At 36.6% G+C, this 22,193-nt stretch overlaps 1 protein-coding gene across 8 annotated transcripts in view; it reads left to right on the forward strand.

Annotated features, from left to right (window-relative positions):
- Positions 1 to 22,193, forward strand: part of AFG2A (AAA ATPase AFG2A) — a 396,356-nt gene that overhangs the window by 191,959 nt on the left and 182,204 nt on the right. Inside the window, exon 15 of one of the 8 annotated variants that reach the window (XM_047449696.1) lies at positions 7,201 to 7,247. The exons of the other annotated variants lie outside the window; for them this stretch is intronic. Within the exon in view, the coding sequence (XP_047305652.1) occupies positions 7,201 to 7,245 (45 nt within the window). The 3' untranslated portion in view covers positions 7,246 to 7,247. The remainder of the gene's footprint in view (positions 1 to 7,200; positions 7,248 to 22,193) is intronic. 8 annotated transcript variants of the gene reach the window in all.

Here is a 22,193-nt window from a genome sequence, read left to right on the forward strand (position 1 = left end):
GGACACAGGAGACTGTTGCCACTGCTGCTCTCACAGTTGCTTCTGCTATCCTGTCTGCCTCCTTGCAGCCTGGAGCAGGGCTCCAGGCCATCGCTGGGCTGGGCTGCCGTCCAAGGCAAGGATGACATTGCCGCAAGTTCCCCCTGTGGACCCGGCTCTCGGTGGCAGCCTGGGGCTCCTCCTCGCACAGCTTGAGACCCTGCCGGGGGGCACCTCTGGGGCAGATCGCGGGCCCCAAACCCAGTTGTCGGGAGCGCCAGGCTGAACAGTCACTCCGACGTGGGGTGGATCCTGGGGTTGCAGCGTCGGTGGCCCGGGCTGAGCCTCCAGCTGAGGTGCAGGAACTTGGAGCCGCCAGCAGGGTGGGTGCGGCGACAGAGTCGCTTGCCAGGTCTGGGAAGCGGGCGCCACTCCCGCTTTCCACCCCACACCCCTGAAGTACGGCCCCACTGTGCGTTCAGGCCCACCTCCCTTCACTCTGTGCGCAACTGCAGCACCCCTGGGTCCAACTCTGCCTTGAGACCCCTCCATGCCAGACCGTGCTCTTCCCCCGCCTGCAGGTAGGTCAGCCCGGCCCCACCTGAGTGGATCCCAGGGTTGGGCTTCCAGGGCAGCAGGCCCCAGGTACCGTTCGCCTTGGAGTCCACCTGAGGATCCACAGCCTGCAACCCCACCTGCACCCACACCCGTGCCCCACCACAGCCGGTCCCGGCTGCCAAAGTGGCAGTGACTACTTTGGATGGCCCGCTGCTGCCATCAATTTGAATGGTTTATATTTTGCCGTCCTTGTTGAGAAGAAAAACATGGATGTATAGATATACAGTGATGGATGGACTAGCAGCTTAAGAATCATTTTGGGGACATTTTTTAAAAAATTTTTTGAGACAGAGTCTTGTTCCATCTCCCAGGCTGGAGTTCAGTGGGGCAATCGTGGCTCACTGCAGCCTTGACCTCATGGGCTCAGGTGATCCTCCTGCCTTAGCCACCCAAGTAGCTGGGACTACAGGCGGGTGCCACCACTCCCAGCTAATATTTAAATTTTTATAGAGACAGGGTCTTGCTTTGTTGTGCAAGCTGGTCTCCAACTCCCAGGCTCTCACAGTCCTCCTGGCTTGACCTCCCAAAGTGCCACCACACCCAGGCTATTTTGAGGACGTTTCTCTTTTCAGAAAAGTTATAAGTATTTTGACCCTGCATGAAAGTTTGGAATGATGGAATCATATAAACAAAAACAACAGAAAGCCTCAAAAGATTTTTTTAAACCAAACAAAAATTATTGGAACCAGCTTTTACCTCAAGCAGTGAATGAGCTACACAGAAAGTTGATTTTTCTTTTATTAATGATTGCTAGTAATGAGAATTTTACACTTTATTCTTCTCAACCTCCCTCCAGGTCAGTTTTGGTTGTTACAGCTGGAGGAATGATACTGGCATCCAGTGGGTAGAGGTCAGGGATGTTACCAGACATCCTATAATGCACAGGAAAACCCTCCCTGACCCACAATGAAACATTGTTAGCCCAAGTAATGCTGAGATTGAGAAACCCTGCTGTAAAGTGTGGATTTTTATCTTGATGGGAGTTTTTCCAAATAGCTACATTGATGTTTACAATGCTTTATAAATAAAGGGAAGTTTTGTTCTGTTTGTTTGAATTACTAATAAGAGATAAAAGAGGCTTTAGAGACAGATTTTGGGATTTATAGATGCAATAAACACATAAACACAGTCTTCGAAAAATGTTCATGGAGACAATATGGTGATCTTGTGATACAGGGAAATGGAAAACATTTTATTATAGAAGAACATGAGAAATTTGTATTATTTTTTACTCTTTCATGGACATGAAATGAAACTTCTACTTTGTAGGTGTTGGTGTTGTACAGAATTATTTCTATATTTGTGAATTAAATCATATAATAAAGTAATTGCAATATCCAAAAATCAATTATCTTGGTAGAATATTCAAGAGCCTGAAGCTCTGGATTCACTTCCCATTTGTGACTAAAGTTAATTTATTTAATGTCCAAGCCTCAGTTAACACATCTGAAAAGTAAGGTAGTTTTTATAAACTTGTCAGATGGGCATTAGTTAATTTGTATTTGATAATTTGTATTGACACTAAACTGTTATCAGATGTTAAAAGAACTGTTCAGTCTTTGATTGCTGAACTTCAGTGTAAGGAGTAGGTATTTCTTTGTTCATTTCATAAAGGAGCTCTTGAACCTCCGTTTTCAAGCATTGTCTGCTCAGTCACAATAATTTGCAGTGGAAGGATGTATATGTAACCACACATGTGTAAACACATACACACCTAGTGACTTGATGGTAGAGAAGTTAAGGATTTACAAAATGTGTTTACATTGCTTTCCAGAGATTGAGGTTGAGGTTTTTGGAACCTGGCATACTGATAGTACCCATTATGGAACCATAATCATGTGGAGTTAGCATACGAGATAGAGCATATAACCTATAAACATATTTAATGATACTCATCTATTGTGCTACAACAGAAACAGACATTGGAGAGTAAATGTAAATGATCTTATTCCCACTCTTAAAAATTTGCAGTTGATTTTATTTTTTAAATGATTATGTTGTCTGCCATACTACCCACAGTCCATTAACTAACTGAATGCATGTTGTCGAAAAAGTTCTACTTTCTGTAAAGGAGGAGAGGGAGAAAAAAAAAATGCAGGTTGGAGTCACAAATCATAGCAAGTCACTTTACCTTTGCTTCCATGTTTAAGAAGGTGTCTCTTTGGTGGAGACAGATGAGATCTGTATTCTGTCACCACCAAAAGTCCTTGGGGTTATTTTTTTAATTTTTTTTTTTTAACTAAGGGACCAGCCAGGGCTACGCAACTAATATAGAGAAAAATTCAGACAAGAAATTAGATCTCAGATGGAGGTGGAAACTGCAAAGTTTGATCATCTTTTAGAGATTGCAGTGTATAAAATAAATTGTTTCACTTATAAATGGAAGCAAAGCAATAAACTTCATGTTATTCTATATACAACTTTAATTACTGTTTCATTTTTTAAAAGATATTTTGTTAAGATGGTATTTTGAATTGGTAACATATGTATATAATTCAGAGATCAAAACTGTATGGAAAGATATACATGCTCATTCCTTGTTCCTTCTACCACTGTACCCCAACCTTTCCACCTTACTTTTATTAGTCTCTTGTTTCTTCTTCCAATTTTTTAACACAAACAAAAAAATATGCAAATATATATGCAAATATAAATATATGTTTATGTGTGTGTATATATAATATATATTATATATAATATATATATTATATTATATATATTATATATATATATATGTTTTCAATACCCATTTCTCCCAGTTATATACAATGCAGGAAACTATGTATACCCTTCAGTACTTTGCTTTTTTGATTTAGCTCTGTTTCTTGCAGATCTTTTTCTCTCAGTAAATGGGCATTTTCCTCATCCTTTTGTAGGATGCATGGATGAAGAACTACCATAGTTATTCAACCAGTGCCTTATTTTATGGATTCTTAGGCTATTGTCAGTCTTTTGCCACTATTAACAGTACTACAAAGAGTAATCTTGTCCAGGTGTCATTTTGTACTTGTGCTGGTTTGTTGTAAAAGTGGGATTGTTGTGTTATGGGTAAATACATTTGTAATTTTGTTAGATATTATCGTATTTCCTTTTATGGTGATTCTACCATTTTTTACTTTCACCAGTAATTTTGAATGTGTCGGGGTTTCCAGGTTGGTATCAGTAGTTAGTAGTTAATTTAAAAGGGTAAGTAAATAATCATTTAATGTTTTATATTTATGTTTAATGATTTTAACATAAAACATAAATATACATTGATTTCATTTGTCTTAGGGCAAATAATTTTTTAAGAATAGTCTGCTCATTGGAGCTCTGTAATACCTCTTTTCTAAACCATATTTTATTAATTTTAGTGTTTGGCATCTATCAAGTAGAGTGATAACTTAAGATACTCTGAGGTACCTTGAGTATCCCCATTCATCTACAGCTGTTCTGCCAAACCAAATTAACAGTTGAGAGTTACTCATCTTTATTGAATCTTTCCTATTTAGGTTTTTTTTTCTAAAAAATAATATATTTATTTGAATCACATAATTTCAATGTCAAGTAATTGTTAAACTAGAATTTTGGAATCAGTATTTTTTACTCATGTTTTGTTTACCGGTAAGTCACCTTGCTTATTACAGTGTCTCAACGTATTAAGTGTTTAGTAAATTTTCATTGAATGGAATAGAAGGAAAAGAGGTAGTATGGAAATAGACTCAACTGATTCTAATTATGCACCCAAAACAAGAAAGCAAAGGTTACGAGAGCAGGAGGAGGGTGCGCATAGCAGAGGGCCTTCTTATCAGCCAGGATATTTAACCTCCCATGGCTGAAGAGTCTAGGAAGTGACATATTTTGCTTTCCAGTCTCCTAACTTTCTCTTCTTAGACATACAAAATTTATATCAAATAGAGACAGTGTGGGTCCATCTTTTTCCCTCATTTTGCTGTCATTTTCAAACTTGTTTATTCTGGAAAATTATAACATGTCTTGCCAAAATTGATTGGCTAGATGTGCTGCAACTTACAGAGCTTTAGACCAGTTATAATGATGAAGGTTCAGTTTAGATAGTAATGTGCTTTGAGGCAATAATTATGGGATATTTCCTTGTAGTGACCAGTAATTTTTATGTCTTCTGTATTAGTCCATTCTCACATTGCTAATAAAGACATACCTGAGGCTGGGTAATTTATAAAGGAAAGAGGTTTAATTGACTTACAGTTTAGCATGGCTGAGCAGGCCTAAGGAAACTTAACAATCATGGCGGAAGGCACCTCTTCACAGGGCTGAAGAGAGAGAATGAGTGCAAGCAGGGGTAATACCATAAACTTATAAAACCATCAGATCTCATGAGAACTCACTGACTATCATGAGAACAGCATGGGGGAAGCTGCCCCCATGATGCAATTACTTCCATGATGTGGGAATTACGGAGATTACAATTCAAGATGAGATTTGGGTGTGGACACAACCAAACCATATCATCTTCCAAACAGAATTTATCATCAACACTGACGAGCCATTTCAGTTTTATCTTAATTATTGCAAGGACTGGTCAAGAGAACGTGTTTGGAAATTGGAAATTAATCATCTATGTTGAGGAAATAATTTATAACATTTGAGTTTCTCCGGTGAATCATTAACATAGTTTCCATATTTAAATTTCTGCCATTATATTTTTTCACATTGTCTGTCTTCTTTCCAAATAACTTCTCAGAGAAACTCTTAGAAAAAGCAGTAATAATTAAGGGCTAAAAAAAAGAGCTTCAGTGCACTTGTGACATCATTTTATCCGTTATAATTAACCATTAAAAATTAGTTAATATTAGTTACCTAACTAAAGTTAGTTAATATAATATCATTATGTGTGCTGCATCATCTATGTGCCCTTCTGGCAAGACTGAGTTTTGGTGAGTGAGGGTTGTTACTGCAGTCACATTCTAGACACAGTCATGTGCTGCGTAACCATGTTTTGGTCAACATCAGACTGCATGTACAAATGTGTCCCATAAGATTATAATGGAGCTGAAAAATTCCTATGGCTTAGTAACACTGTAGCCATCATAATGTCATAACCATTATGATGTGGTAGCATAGTGCATTACTCTTGTGGCAATGCTGGTGTAAACAAACCTGCTGTGCTATTAGTCATATAAAAGTATAGCACATTCCATTTGTATAGTACATCATACTTGATAATAAACAACTGTGTTACAGGCTTATGTATTACCTATACTATACATTTTTATCATTGTAGTGTGTACTCTGCTTATAAAAAAAAATTAACTGTAAAACAGCCTCAGGCAGGTCCTACAGGGGATATTCCATAAAGAAGGCCTTGTAAACGTACGAGATGACAGCTTCATGCATATTATTGCCCTTGAATACCTTTCAGGGAAATAAGATGTAGAGGTGGAAGACAGTGATATTGATGATCCTGACCTACGGGCCTAGGCTAATATATGTGTTTGTGTCTTCGTTTTTAGCAAAAAAGTTTAAAAAGTAAAATAATAAATAAAATTTAAAAATAGGAAAAAGCCTATAGGATAAGGATATAAAGAAGAAAATATTTTTGTGCAGCTGTATAACATGTTGTTTTAACCTAAGTGTTATTATAAGAGTCAAAAAGTAAAAAAAAAAAATAATAAATAAAAAATTTATAAAGTAAGTTACAGATTAATTCCTGAAGAAAGAAAAGTTTTAAAATAAGTTTAGCATAGTCTTATTGTACCGTGTTTATTATAAAATCTATAGTAGTGTACAGTAATGTCCTGGGCCTTCACATTCACTCTTTGCTCACCCAGAGCAAAGAGTTTACTCACTGACTCACCCAGAGCAACTTCCAGTCCTGCAAGTACCATTGCTGGTAAGTGCCCTATACAGGCATACCGTTTTTTAATCTCTTATACATTATTTTTACTGTGCCTGCTCTTTGTTTAGATATGTTTAGACACAAATACCATTGTGTTACAGTTGCCTACAGTGTTGAATACAGTAACATGCTGTACAGGTTTGTAGCCTAAAAGCAACAGGCTATATCATATGGCCTGGGTAGACTATACCATCTAGGTTTGTGTAAGTACACTCTGTGATGTTTGCACAATGACAAAATCACTTAAGGATGCACTTCTCAGAACATATCCCCATTGTTAAGTGACACATGACTGTATTTTGTTCTGTAACTTTCTTGGCCAAATGTACTATTTTGAGTCAAATTCCATAGACCTTTTTGTTTCCTCTTGAAGTATAATGAACCTTTTCCTTTTAACTTATAAAAAGATGAGTGTATTCAAGATTGATTGTTCAGAAACTTTGTCTGGGCAGATTTGACTTTTTATTTTAAATTAGCTTTGTCACAAGGATATTATCACCTTATGTCTTGAAACCCTGACCCAGCCCTCATTGCACTCTCCCAATTTCCCTGCTGGATTTTGTTTGATTATTTGTTGTTTTGCTGCCTCACCGATTTACACATATCACCCTGTAGTTTCAATATGTAAATTCAAAACTTACCTGTTTTGCTATCTAGGATAATATTTAGATAATCAGTTATGTTGATGAGAAAGAGATAGATTTGTTCTGAGATACTTAAATTTATTTTAACTGTTCTCTCCCCAGATATACAGATACTCCTCAACTTACAATGGAGTTCCTTCCTGTTAAAGGTATCTTAAGTTGAAAATATCATAAGTCAAAAATGGATTTAAAACACCTAACCTACCAAACATCACAATTTAGCGTAGCTTACCTTATATGTGCTCAACACTTACATTAGCCTTCAGTTGGGCAAAATAGCCTAACATAAAACCTGTTTTATAATAAACTATTGAATATATTATGTAATTAATTGAATACTGTACTGAAAGTGAAAAACAGAATGGTTGTATGGGTACTCAAAGTAAGGTTTCTTCTGAACATGTATCACTTTCACACTATCATAAAGCTGAAAACTCCAAAGTCAAATCATTGTAAGTCAGGGACTGTTCATTACTTTTGTTTTCTAATGCAGTGGTAATTAATGAAGGAAAATACCAGAAATTGACAGTGTATTGATAAACTGTTCTTTCTATTCATAGGGCTATCTTTTTGCCTTTATACTAATCTCCTTTAATAAATGGAATAGAAAACTACTTTTTTTTTTGGCCATGTCATCTGTTTTTTTGTTTTTTTTTTTTGACAGCATATTAGGTTGTGGATAGTATTTGGAAATCCACATCTGCTCTTTATCCACATGTGTTTATCCTACTTGCAGTGTAGATAAAAATGTGCTTTGTATTTTAGATTAAAAATTGTGTTTTCCATTATTTTATCAATTTTCCTTTCTGAAAATTGACCTTTTAACTTTGTATTTTTGCAGGGAAAGCTTTTGTCAGAGGAACTTTTATTATTGTTTTTCAAAAGGCAGTTGCCTCAAGAAAATCTATTTTACTTTAGTATGAAAGTGGAAAACTGACATTTAATTGCACAAGCTGTTTAAAAATCATAAAATATAACTACTGCTATAAAAATGTGTTCATATAAGAGACTAGAGGATAATATTCAGAGCATAAAACAATGGTTGGAGATCCACAGGCAACCAACACTGGTAGTCAAATAGTGATTAAATTCTTGATAAGTCTTGCTGCTTTTTTTTCTGAAATTTTATTTAATAATATCATATAATGTTTTTCATTTGAAAAGGAAAAAGATGTTATCAAGTTCCTGCCTATTTAACTTTAGAGAGAACTTAGTTTGGTTTATTAAGTTAGACATGTAGTCAGTGTAGCACTTTAATCTTTTAACTTTACCACTTTAATTATTTTACAAATACAAGTTCTTGATGATCTTTTATGTTTTTCTAGGAAATATTAGTGATAACATCTCATATCAATTTTTTTGTAACATTCAGAATGTGTAGTCATGAAGAAGAACAGGGCTTACCTCAAAATATCTGGTATACTCTGCAATAAAAGTATCATCACTGGCCATCAGAGAAATGCAAATCAAAACCACAATGAGATATCATCTCACACCAGTTAGAATGGCGATCATTAAAAAGTCAGGAAACGGCCGGGCGCGGTGGCTCACGCCTGTAATCCCAGCACTTTGGGAGGCCGAGACGGGTGGATCACGAGGTCAGGAGATCGAGACCATCCTGGCTAACACGGTGAAACCCCGTCTCTACTAAAAAAAAAAATACAAAAATTAGCCGGGCATGGTGGCGCGCGCCTGTAGTCCCAGCTACACGGGAGGCTGAGGCAGGAGAATGGCGTGAACCCGGGAGGCGGAGCTTGCAGTGAGTCGAGATCGCGCCACTGCACTCCAGCCTGGGCGACAGAGTGAAACTCCGTCTCAAAAAAAAAAAAAAAAAAAAAAAAAGTCAGGAAACAACAGGTGCTGGAGAGGATGTGGAGAAATAGGAACACTTTTACACTGTTGTTGGGACTGTAAACTAGTTCAACCATTGTGGAAGACAGTGTGGCAATTCCTCAAGGATCTAGAACTAGAAATGCCATTTGACCCAGCCATTCCATTACTGGGTATATACCCAAACGATTATAAATCATGCTGCTATAAAGACACATGCACACGTATGTTTATTGCAGCACTGTTCACAATAGCAAAGACTTGGAACCAACCCAAATGTCCATCAGTGATAGACTGGATTAAGAAAATGTGGCACATATACACCATGGAATACTATGCAGCCATAAAAAATGATGAGTTCATGTCCTTTGTAGGGACATGGATAAAACTGGAAACCAACATTCTCAGCAAGCTATTGCAAGGACAAAAAACCAAACACCTCATGTTCTAACTCATAGGTGGGAATTGAACAATGAGAACACTTGAACACAGGAAGGGGAACATCACATACCAGGGCCTGTTGTGGGGTGTGGGGAGAGGGGAGGGATAGCATTAGGAGATATACGTAATGTAAATGACGAGTTAATGGGTATAGCACACCAACATGGCACATGTATACATGTGTAACAAACCTGCACGTTGTGCACATGTACCCTGGAACTTAAAGTATTAAAAAAACAACAACAAAAAAAACCATGTTCTTATTGGACCACTGCATACCTGACATGTATTTCATTATTTGGTGAATATGAACTTTAAGAGGAAATTTCTTTATTATGAAGTTTTTTAAAACTGAAATTACAGTGTCACAAAATAGTTAACTTGGGTCAGAGGCATTCCAAATGATTTGCTCTGTAAGTGAATGAATGAATTGAAATCTAACTTCGAGTATTATACTTCTTTTGACAGAAATTATTTTACAAAGAAAATGTAACATAAAATTAAGAAATTATTATTTCTCTGGTTTTGTTTGGCGATTCTAAAACAATCACCAGGAAACATATTACTTTTCCATGAGTTCTTACGAACACCTTTACCTTGGGTATATGAAAATGGCCTGCTCTTGAGTTGGATGCTTTATTCCAGATGTGTTCACATAAACAAAGTATGGAAAGTCTATACTTGTATGTATAGGAAACAATGGGTCAGCTTTGAAATTTTTTATGAAATGTACATAGATTTTTCTAGACACGTACAGAAAAATGAGAAGTCGTGTCTAGATGGAGCCATCTCTTGAGACTGGACATCTCCAGTAGAAATTTGACTTCTAGCTAGAAAGACAGTATCAAATTGTTCTCAAATATTAATTTATCATTCTTCTTTCAGGGCTTCCAGATGAGCTTGGAAACTGATTTACAGAGATAATTAAGACCATTTGCCATGAACTTCCTTATGTATCCCCATCATTAACAAGACATAACTTGGCTCTATTATTATCTGCTGCTCCTTTCCTACACTGTCAGAGAAGGACATTTTTTGCCTAAAGTTAATTGTTCCATCTAGTTTCTGTAGCTCATCTCAATTTTAAAAATTTTAGCTCCCTAGTTTCTCCTCACAGACCAAATATATTAAAAGTGAACTTGTGAAAGTCACCAGTGACTACTGAACAAAATTTAATGGTTTCCTTTCTTACTGTGTTCAATTCCATAAATTTTATCCTGCTGAGTACCTGTATCTTGAAACCCTGTACCCTATTAGCTTTGATGACATGACACTTTTCCCTTCTGCTGACTCTGAGTCTAGTACTCTTTTATTTCAGTGGAATTTAATAATCACCTTAATATGGCAAATATTTAAACAAAAATCTGAATCCAGTCCAGCCTCCGGTTTTGTTTTATAATTCAAAATTTGAAATCTCAATTATTTTATCTCAATTTCTTTTTTCTGCTCTATTACCATTACTCTTCTGGTTGAGTTATTTCCTTTATTACTGCCATTGCCTCTTGACTCGTTTCTCTGCCTTCAGTCTCTTTCTCCACCATTTCATATTCATTCTGTTTTATAGTATTCTTCCTAAAGGAGTGATATACTGTTAAGGAACATACAGGGACTCCTTGTTTGCCTCATCAAGTCCAGCTCTTCATTCTGGCTTTTTCACTTTGCAAAAGTTGCCCATACCCCATGCAGCATCTTACCATTATAGTATTTTCTGTTTTCACTGAACATTTACCTTTTATCTTGGCAATTATGTCTTCTGGTAGTCATGTGATATGCACGTACTATTATACATTCATTATTTTCTCCAGGCTTTTGCTTATTTTGTCTCCTCCTCTTTCATCTAAAACCATGCTCATTACTTTTCCTTGACTGCCTGTCTTAACAGCCTTTTCCATGAATTTTTTATTTTTGAGGTTTTGTTTAGTTTTTACTAAATTGGCTCTACAAATCTTTTTTCTCTAGCTTACTTGTCTTCTGTACCACCTAGCTTAGTTCTTGATGTTCTCTAATAGTTCATGTGTTCCAGGTTTTTCCTGTCTTTCTAATAACATGTAAGTATCTTGAGGTCAGAGAGATTGATACAGTTTGGCTGTGTCCCCACCAAAATCTCATCTCAAATTATAGTTCCCATAATCCCCACATGTCATGGGAGAGACCTGGTGGGAGGTAATTGAATCATGGGGGTGCTTACCTCCGTGCTGTTCTCATGATAGTCAGTGAGTTCTCATGAGATATGAAGGTTTTATAAGGGGCTTTTCCCCTTTTGCTCTCATTCTTCTCCTTCCTGCCACCATGTGAAGAAGGATGTGTTTGCTTACTTTTCCACAATGATTGTAAGTTTCCTGAGGCCTCCCCAGCCATGCCAAACTATGAGTCAATTAAACTTTTTTCCTTTATAAACTACCCAGTAGCCTTGGGTATGTCTTTATTAGCAGCATGAGAAGGAACTAATACAGAGATCAAATCATATTTTTGATAGCCGTCAGATAATAGTTGTTTCATGAATTTTGCCCGTTAATTAAAAATAAGACTACATGGCCAAGTGCAGTGGCCCACACCTGTAATCCCAACATTTTGGGAGCCTGGGGCAGGAGGATCACTTAAGGCTAGGAGTTTGAAACCAGCCTGGGAAACTTTGGGAGACCTTGTCTCTACAAAAATTGAAAAATCAGCTGTAGCCCTGGCTACTCAGGAGGTTGAGGCAGGAGGATTGCTAGCTAGATCCTAGAGGTTGAGGCCTATGGTGATCCGTGATCTTGCCACTGCTCTGTAGCCTGGGTGACAGGGTGAGACTCTTGTCTCTAAAAATAAATAAACATAAGACACAGAAGCTAAATATTTAAATCTCTTTAGTTTTCACAGGAAGTCAATAATGAAACCAGGATCTGAGTAGAAACAGTTATTTTAAAATCATAATATCACAGTTTTATCATATCAGTTTTTATAGTTGTAAAAATTTCACATCAGCAGAGGGCAGTCAAACCATAGTTCATTCAACTATCTTATGGGAAATTAAAATTTTCTCTGTGTTTTTCTGCTTAGGACACAAGCTGTACTTTATATAATCAGTTTGTAAATACATTTCAAAGCTCTTCAGTTGGTAAGCTGATAGAATTGTATTACTGTTTAGCCACGGAAGGTAAACAGTTTTTTTTAATAAATTTAAATAAAAGGAATTAATTTTTTTAGATCATGAAATGCTTTATTATTTGGTGTTTTTGATGGATGGCCACTTTACATAGAAATTTGTTTTTTCTGCCTCAGAAGCAGTATTTCTGTTAAATTGCCTGTTATTAATTAGGCTATTTTTTATTCAAAAATATTAACTTTTATGGAATACCTTTATTTTCCCCTATGAACTTGAGAAAAATGAGTTTTTATTAGAGGCTATAGTATAACACTAACTAAAATGTAGTTTGGAAAGTTTTATTGAGTTTTTCTTCCTTAACCTTTTCTTTGGCTGGCTGCAAACAACTAGTGATAATGTGTTTTTAGATGTGCTTATTTTCACCTCTTCCTCCTGGAGGTTAAGCTAGTACTCATTAAGGAAAAAATACAGTTTATACTAAACAGTGTTTAACATATACTGATGGTATTACTGTATTTCCTGTTTTGTGTTCACAATGAGAAGATTCTGAAAAACTGTCTTTGTGTAAATACTTTACTGACATACCAGACAAGTATAATCTTGTCTGCTGGTAGGCAGGAAAGAGTGATGTCCTGGAATGTTGTTGAGAAGGAAATCTCTTTGTGTTCCACAAATGATACCCTTAAACCCTTTAAGAATATAATTTTAAAATGACAGCTCTGAATTTGCTTTTCCTTCCGTTTATTAACTTTTCATGCGTTTAAGTTCAGAAATGCATTTAGTTGGGAAAAAAACCATTGTGTCTGAGAAAGAAGTATCTCCCTGGTAGTTTGTGGGAAATTATTGGTAGAAGTATCTCAGGGTAAACATAAAAACAGATTTAATAATTGTTGCTTTTTGTTTTCTTAGTTTAAACTTTTTCTGATACTTGAGTCAGGCTTTTGGTAATTCTCTACAGGCTTAAAAAAATGCAGCATCTCCAACAACCATCCGAAACATCTACCCAAGAAGTAATTTGGGGAGATTGTTGTTAGAACACAAATTTTTTTTAAAGTTAGAGTTGGAGTTTTTAAATTTTATTATTTAATGTGAGTCATTAAGACATATGAAAAGCTGTTGTGTAGTGTTAACATTGAATATTCTAGTGAATGGATTTTTATATACTTAATTATTATAGCTGAGAGTTCACTTAAAATTATACTGATGTTTCTGTTCAGTGACTGAAAAAAAAATGATTATGGTTAAACCCTTAAATAATTGACAAAACAGACATCACAGACTAGACCTGTGTGTGATTTCTGGGTCAGTGGTTCTTTTTCTTCTTCTTCTTTAGTACTCCCATCATTATTACTTACAGTGATTTTGTACTTCAGCTCTCACTCTAAAACCCAGCAAAATGGAGAATTATCTGTAAGAGTCTCCAAATACAAGGTTTAAAATGCTTGTTAATAATTTTCAAACTTTAGAAAAGTATTATATGCTTTTTTTCATCTTGAAGTTCTTGCATTGTTAATGCATGTCATATGTTGTATCCTTTGTTAAAGTATTTGCTTAAAAATATGTGGGACATTATCCTTCATATAGACCTGTTTTCATAAATCTGCTCTGATGAATTCTGAAATATGGAGGCTACTGCATTTTCAATTAAAAATCTTAAAGGCAATACTTTAAGACAAAAGAGCTAAGTAATTCAAACAAGTATTAACTAATATGGTAGTTTCATGGTATCAGAAATTCAGATTACTTCTGTGCCATCCCTTAGGCCACATGGTAAAAAGTATCTCACTGTCACATTAGTTGGGTTCTCATTCAGGTCAACAAGAATTAGGAGATAAGGTAATAGCTCATCCCTGCCGTTTAAGAGCATAACCCATAAATTGCAGCTATCATTTACATCCCATTGGCTAATCTTAGCTACAAGGTAATATTCAGCTGCAAGAGAGGCTGTAAAATAAATATATTCTCTATTTTGAGGGGCTGGGATTTAAATTTGGCTTTAACTCAGGGGTTTCATTACTAAAGAGAAAAACTAACAGTCTCTGCGATTACCTGTTAGCACCATCAGCTGTCATTGTCCACTCCTTCCTCTTTGAAACATTCCTCTTTGTTTTACGTGACACAGTAATACCTAATTTTTCTTCTATTTCTTTGTCCTCCTTGACTCCTTTACATATTTATTCTGGTCTGCCTAGCCACAGAATGTTGCAGTTTGTCAAGGCTGGGCACGGGACCCATCTTCTCTCATCCACATCCATGGCTTCAGTTGTCAGCTGTGATTCAGTGCCTAATTCAGCTCAGATCTTTGCTCTGACCGATTCAACCATCTACTTACATGTCTCAAAGGCACTTGCAGTTCAACATGTTTTTAAATTTTGTTCTAAATTATATATATAATTATATAATCTTAATTTTATGAAGTAAATTCTATTACCATCCTTGATCATACACGTGAGAAACTGAAACACAGATGGTTAAGAAACTTGACCAACATAGCTGGTAACTGTTATGTGAGGTTTTTTGTTGTTGTTTTGTTTTTGAGGTAGGGTCTTACTCTGTTGCCCAGACTGAAGAGCAGTGGTGCAATCATAGCTCATTGCAACCTCAAACTCCTGGGCTCAAACCATCCCCCACCTCAGTCTCCCAAGTAGCAGGGACTATAGGTGCAGGCCACAGTTCCCAGCTAATATATATATATTTTTTAATTTATGTAGATATGAGGTCTCTCTATGTTGCTGAGGCTGGTTTCAAACTCCTGGCCTCAAGCAGTCCTTTCACCTCAGCTTCCCAAAGTACTGAGATGACAGGCGTGAGACACGATGCCAGGTTCAGTTCTGTCAGTTTTGATAAATGCATAGAATTGGGTAACCACCAACACAATCACAATGCAAAACAATTTATTTACTCCAAAAATTTATTCTTGCAGCCACCACTGGTGGGATGTCTTCTTTCCACCACTGACCCCTGGCAACTACTGATCTGTCCTGTAGTTTTGCCCATTTCCCAAATGTCATATAAATGTAATCATGCACATGTCATCTTTGAGTATAACCTCTTTTATTTCACATGTTTTCGAGATTCGTCTGTGTTACTGTATCAGTAGTTTGTTCCTTTTTTATTATTGGGTATTATTCCGCTATATAGATGCACTACAGTTTGTTTATACATAATAAACAATAAAGGACATTTTAGATTGTTTGCAGCTTTTGCTATGAAGAATGTTGCAGTACACATTCACAGACTGGTTTTTATGTGAACAAAACTTCTTATATCTAATATGATTCTAGGAGTGGATTTACTGAATCATAGGGTAATTAACTGTATGCTTAATTTTATATAAACTGCCCTATTACTTTCCAGATTGCCTGAACTATATTCCCACCAACAATATATGAGCATTCCAGGTGCCCTGCATACTTGCTAGTGCTTGTTATTGTCAGTGTTTTTTTTTTCTTTAGTTTTAATCATTCTGTTAGTTATATAGTATTATCTTATTGTGGTTTTAATCTGCATTGCTCTTATTACCAGCAATATCAGGCATCTCTTCATTTGCTTATTTGTAATTTGAACATTTTGTTTTGGTGAAATGTTTTCTTTGGATCAATTTTTACCCTTTCAATGGGTTGTTTTCTTTACGTATTCTGGATCAAAATCCTTTATCGAGCATATTACAAACCTTCTCTTAATCTGTAGCTTGTCTTTTCTTTTTATTAACACTGTAGTTCACAGAGCAAAAAATTTTAGTTTTGAAGAAGTACAATTTCCTTTTTTAAAATCAACTCTTTACTTATGTATAATGTCTCCTATGGGGATTTTTAAAATTATTTTTTTATTGCGGTAAAAAAGCACATAACATAAAAGATACCATCTTAACTGTTTATTTTTCTTTTCTATCTTAGCAGTTTCTAAGTTTACAGTTTAGTAGTATTAAGTATATTCACATTGTTGCACAGCCTCCAAAACTTTTTCATCATGGAAAACAGAAAATCTGTACCCATTAAACAACTCTGCATTACCTCCTCCCCCCAGTCCCTTTCTACTTTGTTTCTATGAATTTGACTGCTCTGGATACCTCATATAAGTGGAATTGTGCAGTATGTGTCTTTTGTAACTGGCTTATTTTAATTTAGCATAACGTCCTCAAGATTATTTTATGTTATATAATGTATCAGAATTTCTTTTTTGAGGCTGAATATTTTATTATATGTATATACCACATCTTGTTATCCATTCATCTGTAGATGGACAGTTAGGTTGTATCCACCTCTTGGCTATTATGAATAGTGGTATTACAAACATGGTGTGTGAATATCTATTTGAGATCTGCTTTCAATTTTTTGATATGTACTCAGAAGTGAAATTGCTAGATCATATAGTATTTCTATTTTTAATGTTTTGAATAACTGCCATACTATTTTCCACAGCAGCTGCACCATTTTATATTCATTCCAATAGTGGGAACAAGGTTTTAAATTTCTGATTCTTTTCTTTTTTCTTTTTTGATAGTATGTATCCTAATGGGTATGAGGCGACATGCATTGTGATTGTGATCTGTACTTCCCTAATGATTAGTGATTTTCACTATATTTTCATGTGCTTCTTGGCCTTTTCCCCCCCAGATTTATTGAAGTATGATTGACAAACAAAAATTGCATATCTTTAGAGTGTACAACATGATGTTTATATACACAGACACATATACATTGTTATTAACTGTAGTCACCACCATGCTCTACATTAGGTCTTTAATACTTATTCATCTTGTGGCTGAGGGTTTGTATCCTTTGACTAATATCGCACTTTTCCCAACCCTTAGGTCCCAACCATTCTATTCTCTGTTAATAGGAGTTCAGCTGTTTTTTAGATTCCACATATAAGTGAGATCATGTAGTACTTGTCCTTCTGTGTTTGGCTTATTTCACTTAGCGTGATGTTTTCAGAGTTCATCCATGTTGTCGCAAATGGCAAGATTTCCTTCTTTTTTATGGCTGAATTATATTTGTGTGTGTGTGTGTGTGTATACATATATGTACATTCACAATAGCCAAGCTATGGAAACAACCAGTGTTCATTGATAGAAGAATGGACGAAGAAAACATGATGTGTGTACATATATATATATATATATGTGCATATATATTTGCATGTGTACACACACATCACATTTTCTTTATTCATTCTCTGTCAATGGACACAGGTTGTTTCCATAGCTTGGCTATTGTGAATAATGCTTCAATGAACATGGAAGTGAAGGCATCTCTTCCGCATCTCTTCCGCATAATGATTTCAATCCTTTTTTTTTTTTTTTTTTGAGACGGAGTCTCGCTCTGTCGCCCAGGCTGAAGTGCAGTGGTGCGATCTTGGCTCACTGCAAGCCCCGCCTCCTGGGTTCACGCCATTCTCCTGCCTCAGCCTCCCCGGTAGCTGGGACTACAGGCGCCCACCACCACGCCCGGCTAATTTTTTGTAGTTTTAGTAGAGACGGGGTTTCACCGTGTTAGCCAGGATGGTCTCGATCTCCTGACCTCATGATCCGCCCGCCTAGGCCTCCCAAAGTGCTGGGATTACAGGCGTGAGCCACTGCGCCCAGCCGATTTCAATCCTTTGTGTATACATTGCCAACCTAAATAGCAGGCAGAGAGGTTCTCCGAAGATAATGGGTTTGTTCGAGACTGCATAGAGGATTTGCAGTTCTGGGATATGCAGCCTATGGGGACCACAGGCATATCCAAAGAGGTTCAGGCAAGGGGATGCTTTTAAAGGTAAAGGAGAAAAGTAGTAGTTTATTTTGAAACAATGACAACATTGGTTACGGGGCTTATCACAGGAGCTGACACCAGTTCTTTAGTGGAAACTGTGTCAGGCAAGTGTTCTTGTGCATCTGGCTAGCTGTCCTTGTGACTCCTGTAACAATCTGCAGTTTAGAACGTTGTGGTTACAGGCATATGTGCCTAAGAGTCCTTCATACAGTGTCTGTTATAGTTCCTATCATAGGCGTGTGCGTGTGTGTGTGTGTGTGTGTGGCCTCCCTTTGTAAACTCCTAGCTTTATTTATATATATTTTTTGTTTGAGTTTGACACAGGTGACTTCATTTTGATTCTGATACCTTTTACAATACCCAGTAGTGGGATTGCTGAATCATATGGTCATTCTGTTTTTACTTCTTTGGGTAACCTAGACATTGTTTTCTTAAATGGCTATACTAATTTACAATATCACTTTATATTGTTTTCTTAAATGGCTTTACTAATTTACAGTGTCACTAACGGTGGATAAGGATTCCCTAGTTTTCACATCCTTGCCAAAACTTACTGTCTTTCATCTTTCTGATGGCCAGTCTGACAGATGTGAGGTGACATCTCATTGTGGTTTTAATTTGCATTTCTCATTATTAGAGATATTGAGCACTTGTATTTGTTGGACTTTTGTGTATCTTTTGAGAAATGTGTATTGAAGTTCTTTCCAGTTTTTAATAGGGTTATGTGTTCTCTTGATATTGAGTAGTTTGAGTTCCTTGTATATTTTAGATATTAGCTCTTTATTAGATGTATGATTTGCATATGTTTCTCCCAATCTGGGGTTTTTCTCTTCACTCTATTGTTTCTTTGGTGTGCAGAAGCTTTTTAGTTTAATGCAGTTCCATTGGTTTATTTTTGCTTTCATTGCCTGTGCTTTTGAGGTTATATCCAAGAAATCTCTGTCTGTGGAGCTTTTTCTCTTAGGTTTTCTTCTAGTAGTTTTATTTTCAGGTCTTCTGCTTAAGTCTTCAATTTATTTTGACTTGATTCATGTATAAGGGGTGAGAAAAGGGTCCATTTTTATTCTATATGTGGATATTCAGTTTGCTCGTCATCACTTATTGTAGAGACTGTCCTTTCCCCATTGTATGTTCTTGGCATCATCATCAAAAATCAATTGACTATAGACATGTGGATTTATTTCTGCTCTCTCTGTCCTATTCCATTCGTTGATGTGTCTGTTTTGATGCTAGGTATGGCTTTGCAGTATATTTTATAATCTGTTTGTGTGATGCTTCCAGCTTTGTTCTTTTTGGTCAAGATTATTTTGACTATTCTGGGCCTTTGTGATTCCATATGAATTTTAGGATTTTTTTTTTTTTTTTTGCAAAGGATCATAAGAAACTACTATGAACAATTATATGTCAACAAATCATGTAACCTAGAAAAATGGATAGAAACATTTAACATAACAAAACTGAATCAAGAGATTGGAAATCTGAACAGACCAATAATTAGTAAGGAGATTGACTCAGTAAGTAGAAGTCTGTCATCAGTGGAAAGCCCAGAACCACATGACTTTATGGCTGAATTCTACCACACGTTTAAAGAAGGGCTAATACTAATCCTCCTCAAACTCTTCTGAAAAATTGAAGAGGAGGGAATACCTCCAGACTCATTTTATGAGGCCAGAATCACCCTCTTACCAAAGCCAGACAAAGACATTACAAAACAAAACTATAGGCCAGTATTCCTGATGATCATTGATGTAAAAATTCTCAACAAAATACTAGCAAACCATAGTCAATAGTACATTATAAGGATCATTTACCAGTAGATCAAGTGGGATTTATTCCTGGAATGTAGATTGCTTCAACATAAGCAAATCAATAAATGTGACTTACCATATTAACAGAATGAAGGACAAAAACTACATGATCATTTCAATAGATGCAGAAAAAGCCTTTAACAACATTCAGCATCCTGTCATGATTAAAAATCTAACAAATTAGGTACAGAAGGAATGTTCCTCCACACAGTAGAGGCCATATATGGCAAGTCTGCAGCTAACAGCATACTCAATACTGAAGAGCTAAAGGCTTTTTTTCTAATATCATGAACAATACAAGATGCTTACCTATTCTCACCATTTCTTTTGAACATAGTTCTGGAAGTCCTAGCCAGAGCAATTAGACAAGAGAAAGAAATAAAAGGCATCCTAATAGGAAAGGATGAAGTGAAATTATCTTTGTTTGCTGACTACATGATCTTATACAGTTACACCTCTGTATCTGTGGGTTCTGCATCTTTGGATTCAACCAACCACAGATTGAAAATACTCAGAAAAAAATGGATAGTTATGCCTGCTGAATATCTACAGACTTTTTTCTTGTCACTCTTCATCAAACAATATAGTATAACAACGTTTACATAGCATTTACATGTATTAGGTATTTTAAGTAATCTAGCGATCATTTAAAGTATATGGGATAGGCATAGGTTATATGCAAATACTATGCCATTTTATATAAAGGACTTGAGCATCCATGGAGTTTAGTATCCTCCAGGTTGCCTGGAACTAATCCCTCATAGATACTGAGGGACAGCTATATATAGAAAATCCTAAGGACTCCACCCAAAACTGCTAGAATTCATAAACCCAATAAAGTTGCAGGGTACAAAATCAACCTACACAAACCAGTAGCATTTTGTTTTACACTAACAACAAACTGTCTGAAAAAAATTAAGAAAACAATCTCATTTACAATAGTATGAAAAAATAAGTAAAACAATTAGTAAACAAGGAAGTAAAAGATTTGTAATTTCCAAATATTTGGAAATTTTTCAGTAACTCAGTGTCTTTAACTAATAATTTAATCATTCTAGTAAGAAAACATGCTTTGTATGATTTTAGTCTTTACATTTATTAATTTATGTAAATTAATATGTGGGTTTTATGATCACCCACGACATTGTCCTAACTTGTCGACTGTTCTGTGTGCTCTTTTAAAGAAGGTAGTCTGTTGGCCGGGTGCGGTGGCTTACGCCTATAATCCCAGCACTTTGGGAGGCTGAGGCAGGCAGATCACCTGAGGTCGGGAGTTTTAGACCAGCCGAACCAACATGGAGAAACCCGGTCTCTACTAAAAATACAAAATTAGGCCAGGTGCGGTGGCTCACCCCTATAATCCCAGCACTTTGGGAGGCCTAGACGGGCGGATCACGAGGTCAGGAGATCGAGACCATCCTGGCTAACATGGTAAAACCCCGTCTCTACTAAAAAAAAAAATACAAAAAAATTAGCTGGGGTGGTGGCAGGCGCCTGTAGTCCCAGCTACCTGGGAGGCTGAGGCAGGAGAATGGCGTGAACACGAGAGGTGGAGCTTGCAGTGAGCCGAGATCGCACCACTGCACTCCAGCCTGGGCAACAAAAGCAAAATTCCGTCTCAAAAAAAAAAAATATATATTAGCTGGGCGTGGTGGCACATTCCTGTAATCCTCGCTACTTGGGAGACTGAGGCAGAAGAATCGCTTGAACCCAGGAGGCAGAGGTTGCAGTGAGCCGAGATCATGCCATTACACTCCAGCCTGGGCAACAAAAGTGAAACTCCATCTCAAAAAAAAAAAAAAAGAAAAAAAGAGAATGTAGTCTGTTGTTGGGTGCAGTGTTTTATAGAGGTCATTTAGTCAGTGGTCCCCAACCTTTTTGGCACCAGGGACCAGTTTTGTGAAAGACAATTTTTCCACAGGTGTGGGGCGGGGGTTGGTTTCGGGATGAAACTATTTCACTTCAGATCAGGCATTAGATTCTCATAAGGAGCACACAACGTAGATACCTTGCACGCACAATTCACAGTAGGGTTCACACTTCTATGAGTGCGCATCTAACGGTGCGGCTGATCAGGCAGTAATGCTTGCTTGCTTGTCTGCTGCTCACCTTCTGCTGTGCAGACCAGTTCTTAATAGGCTGCAATCTGGTACTGATCCACAACCCGGGGGTTGA

This window comes from Homo sapiens, chromosome 4 (genome assembly GCF_000001405.40).
Source record: "Homo sapiens chromosome 4, GRCh38.p14 Primary Assembly".
Taxonomy (NCBI): domain Eukaryota; kingdom Metazoa; phylum Chordata; class Mammalia; order Primates; family Hominidae; genus Homo; species Homo sapiens.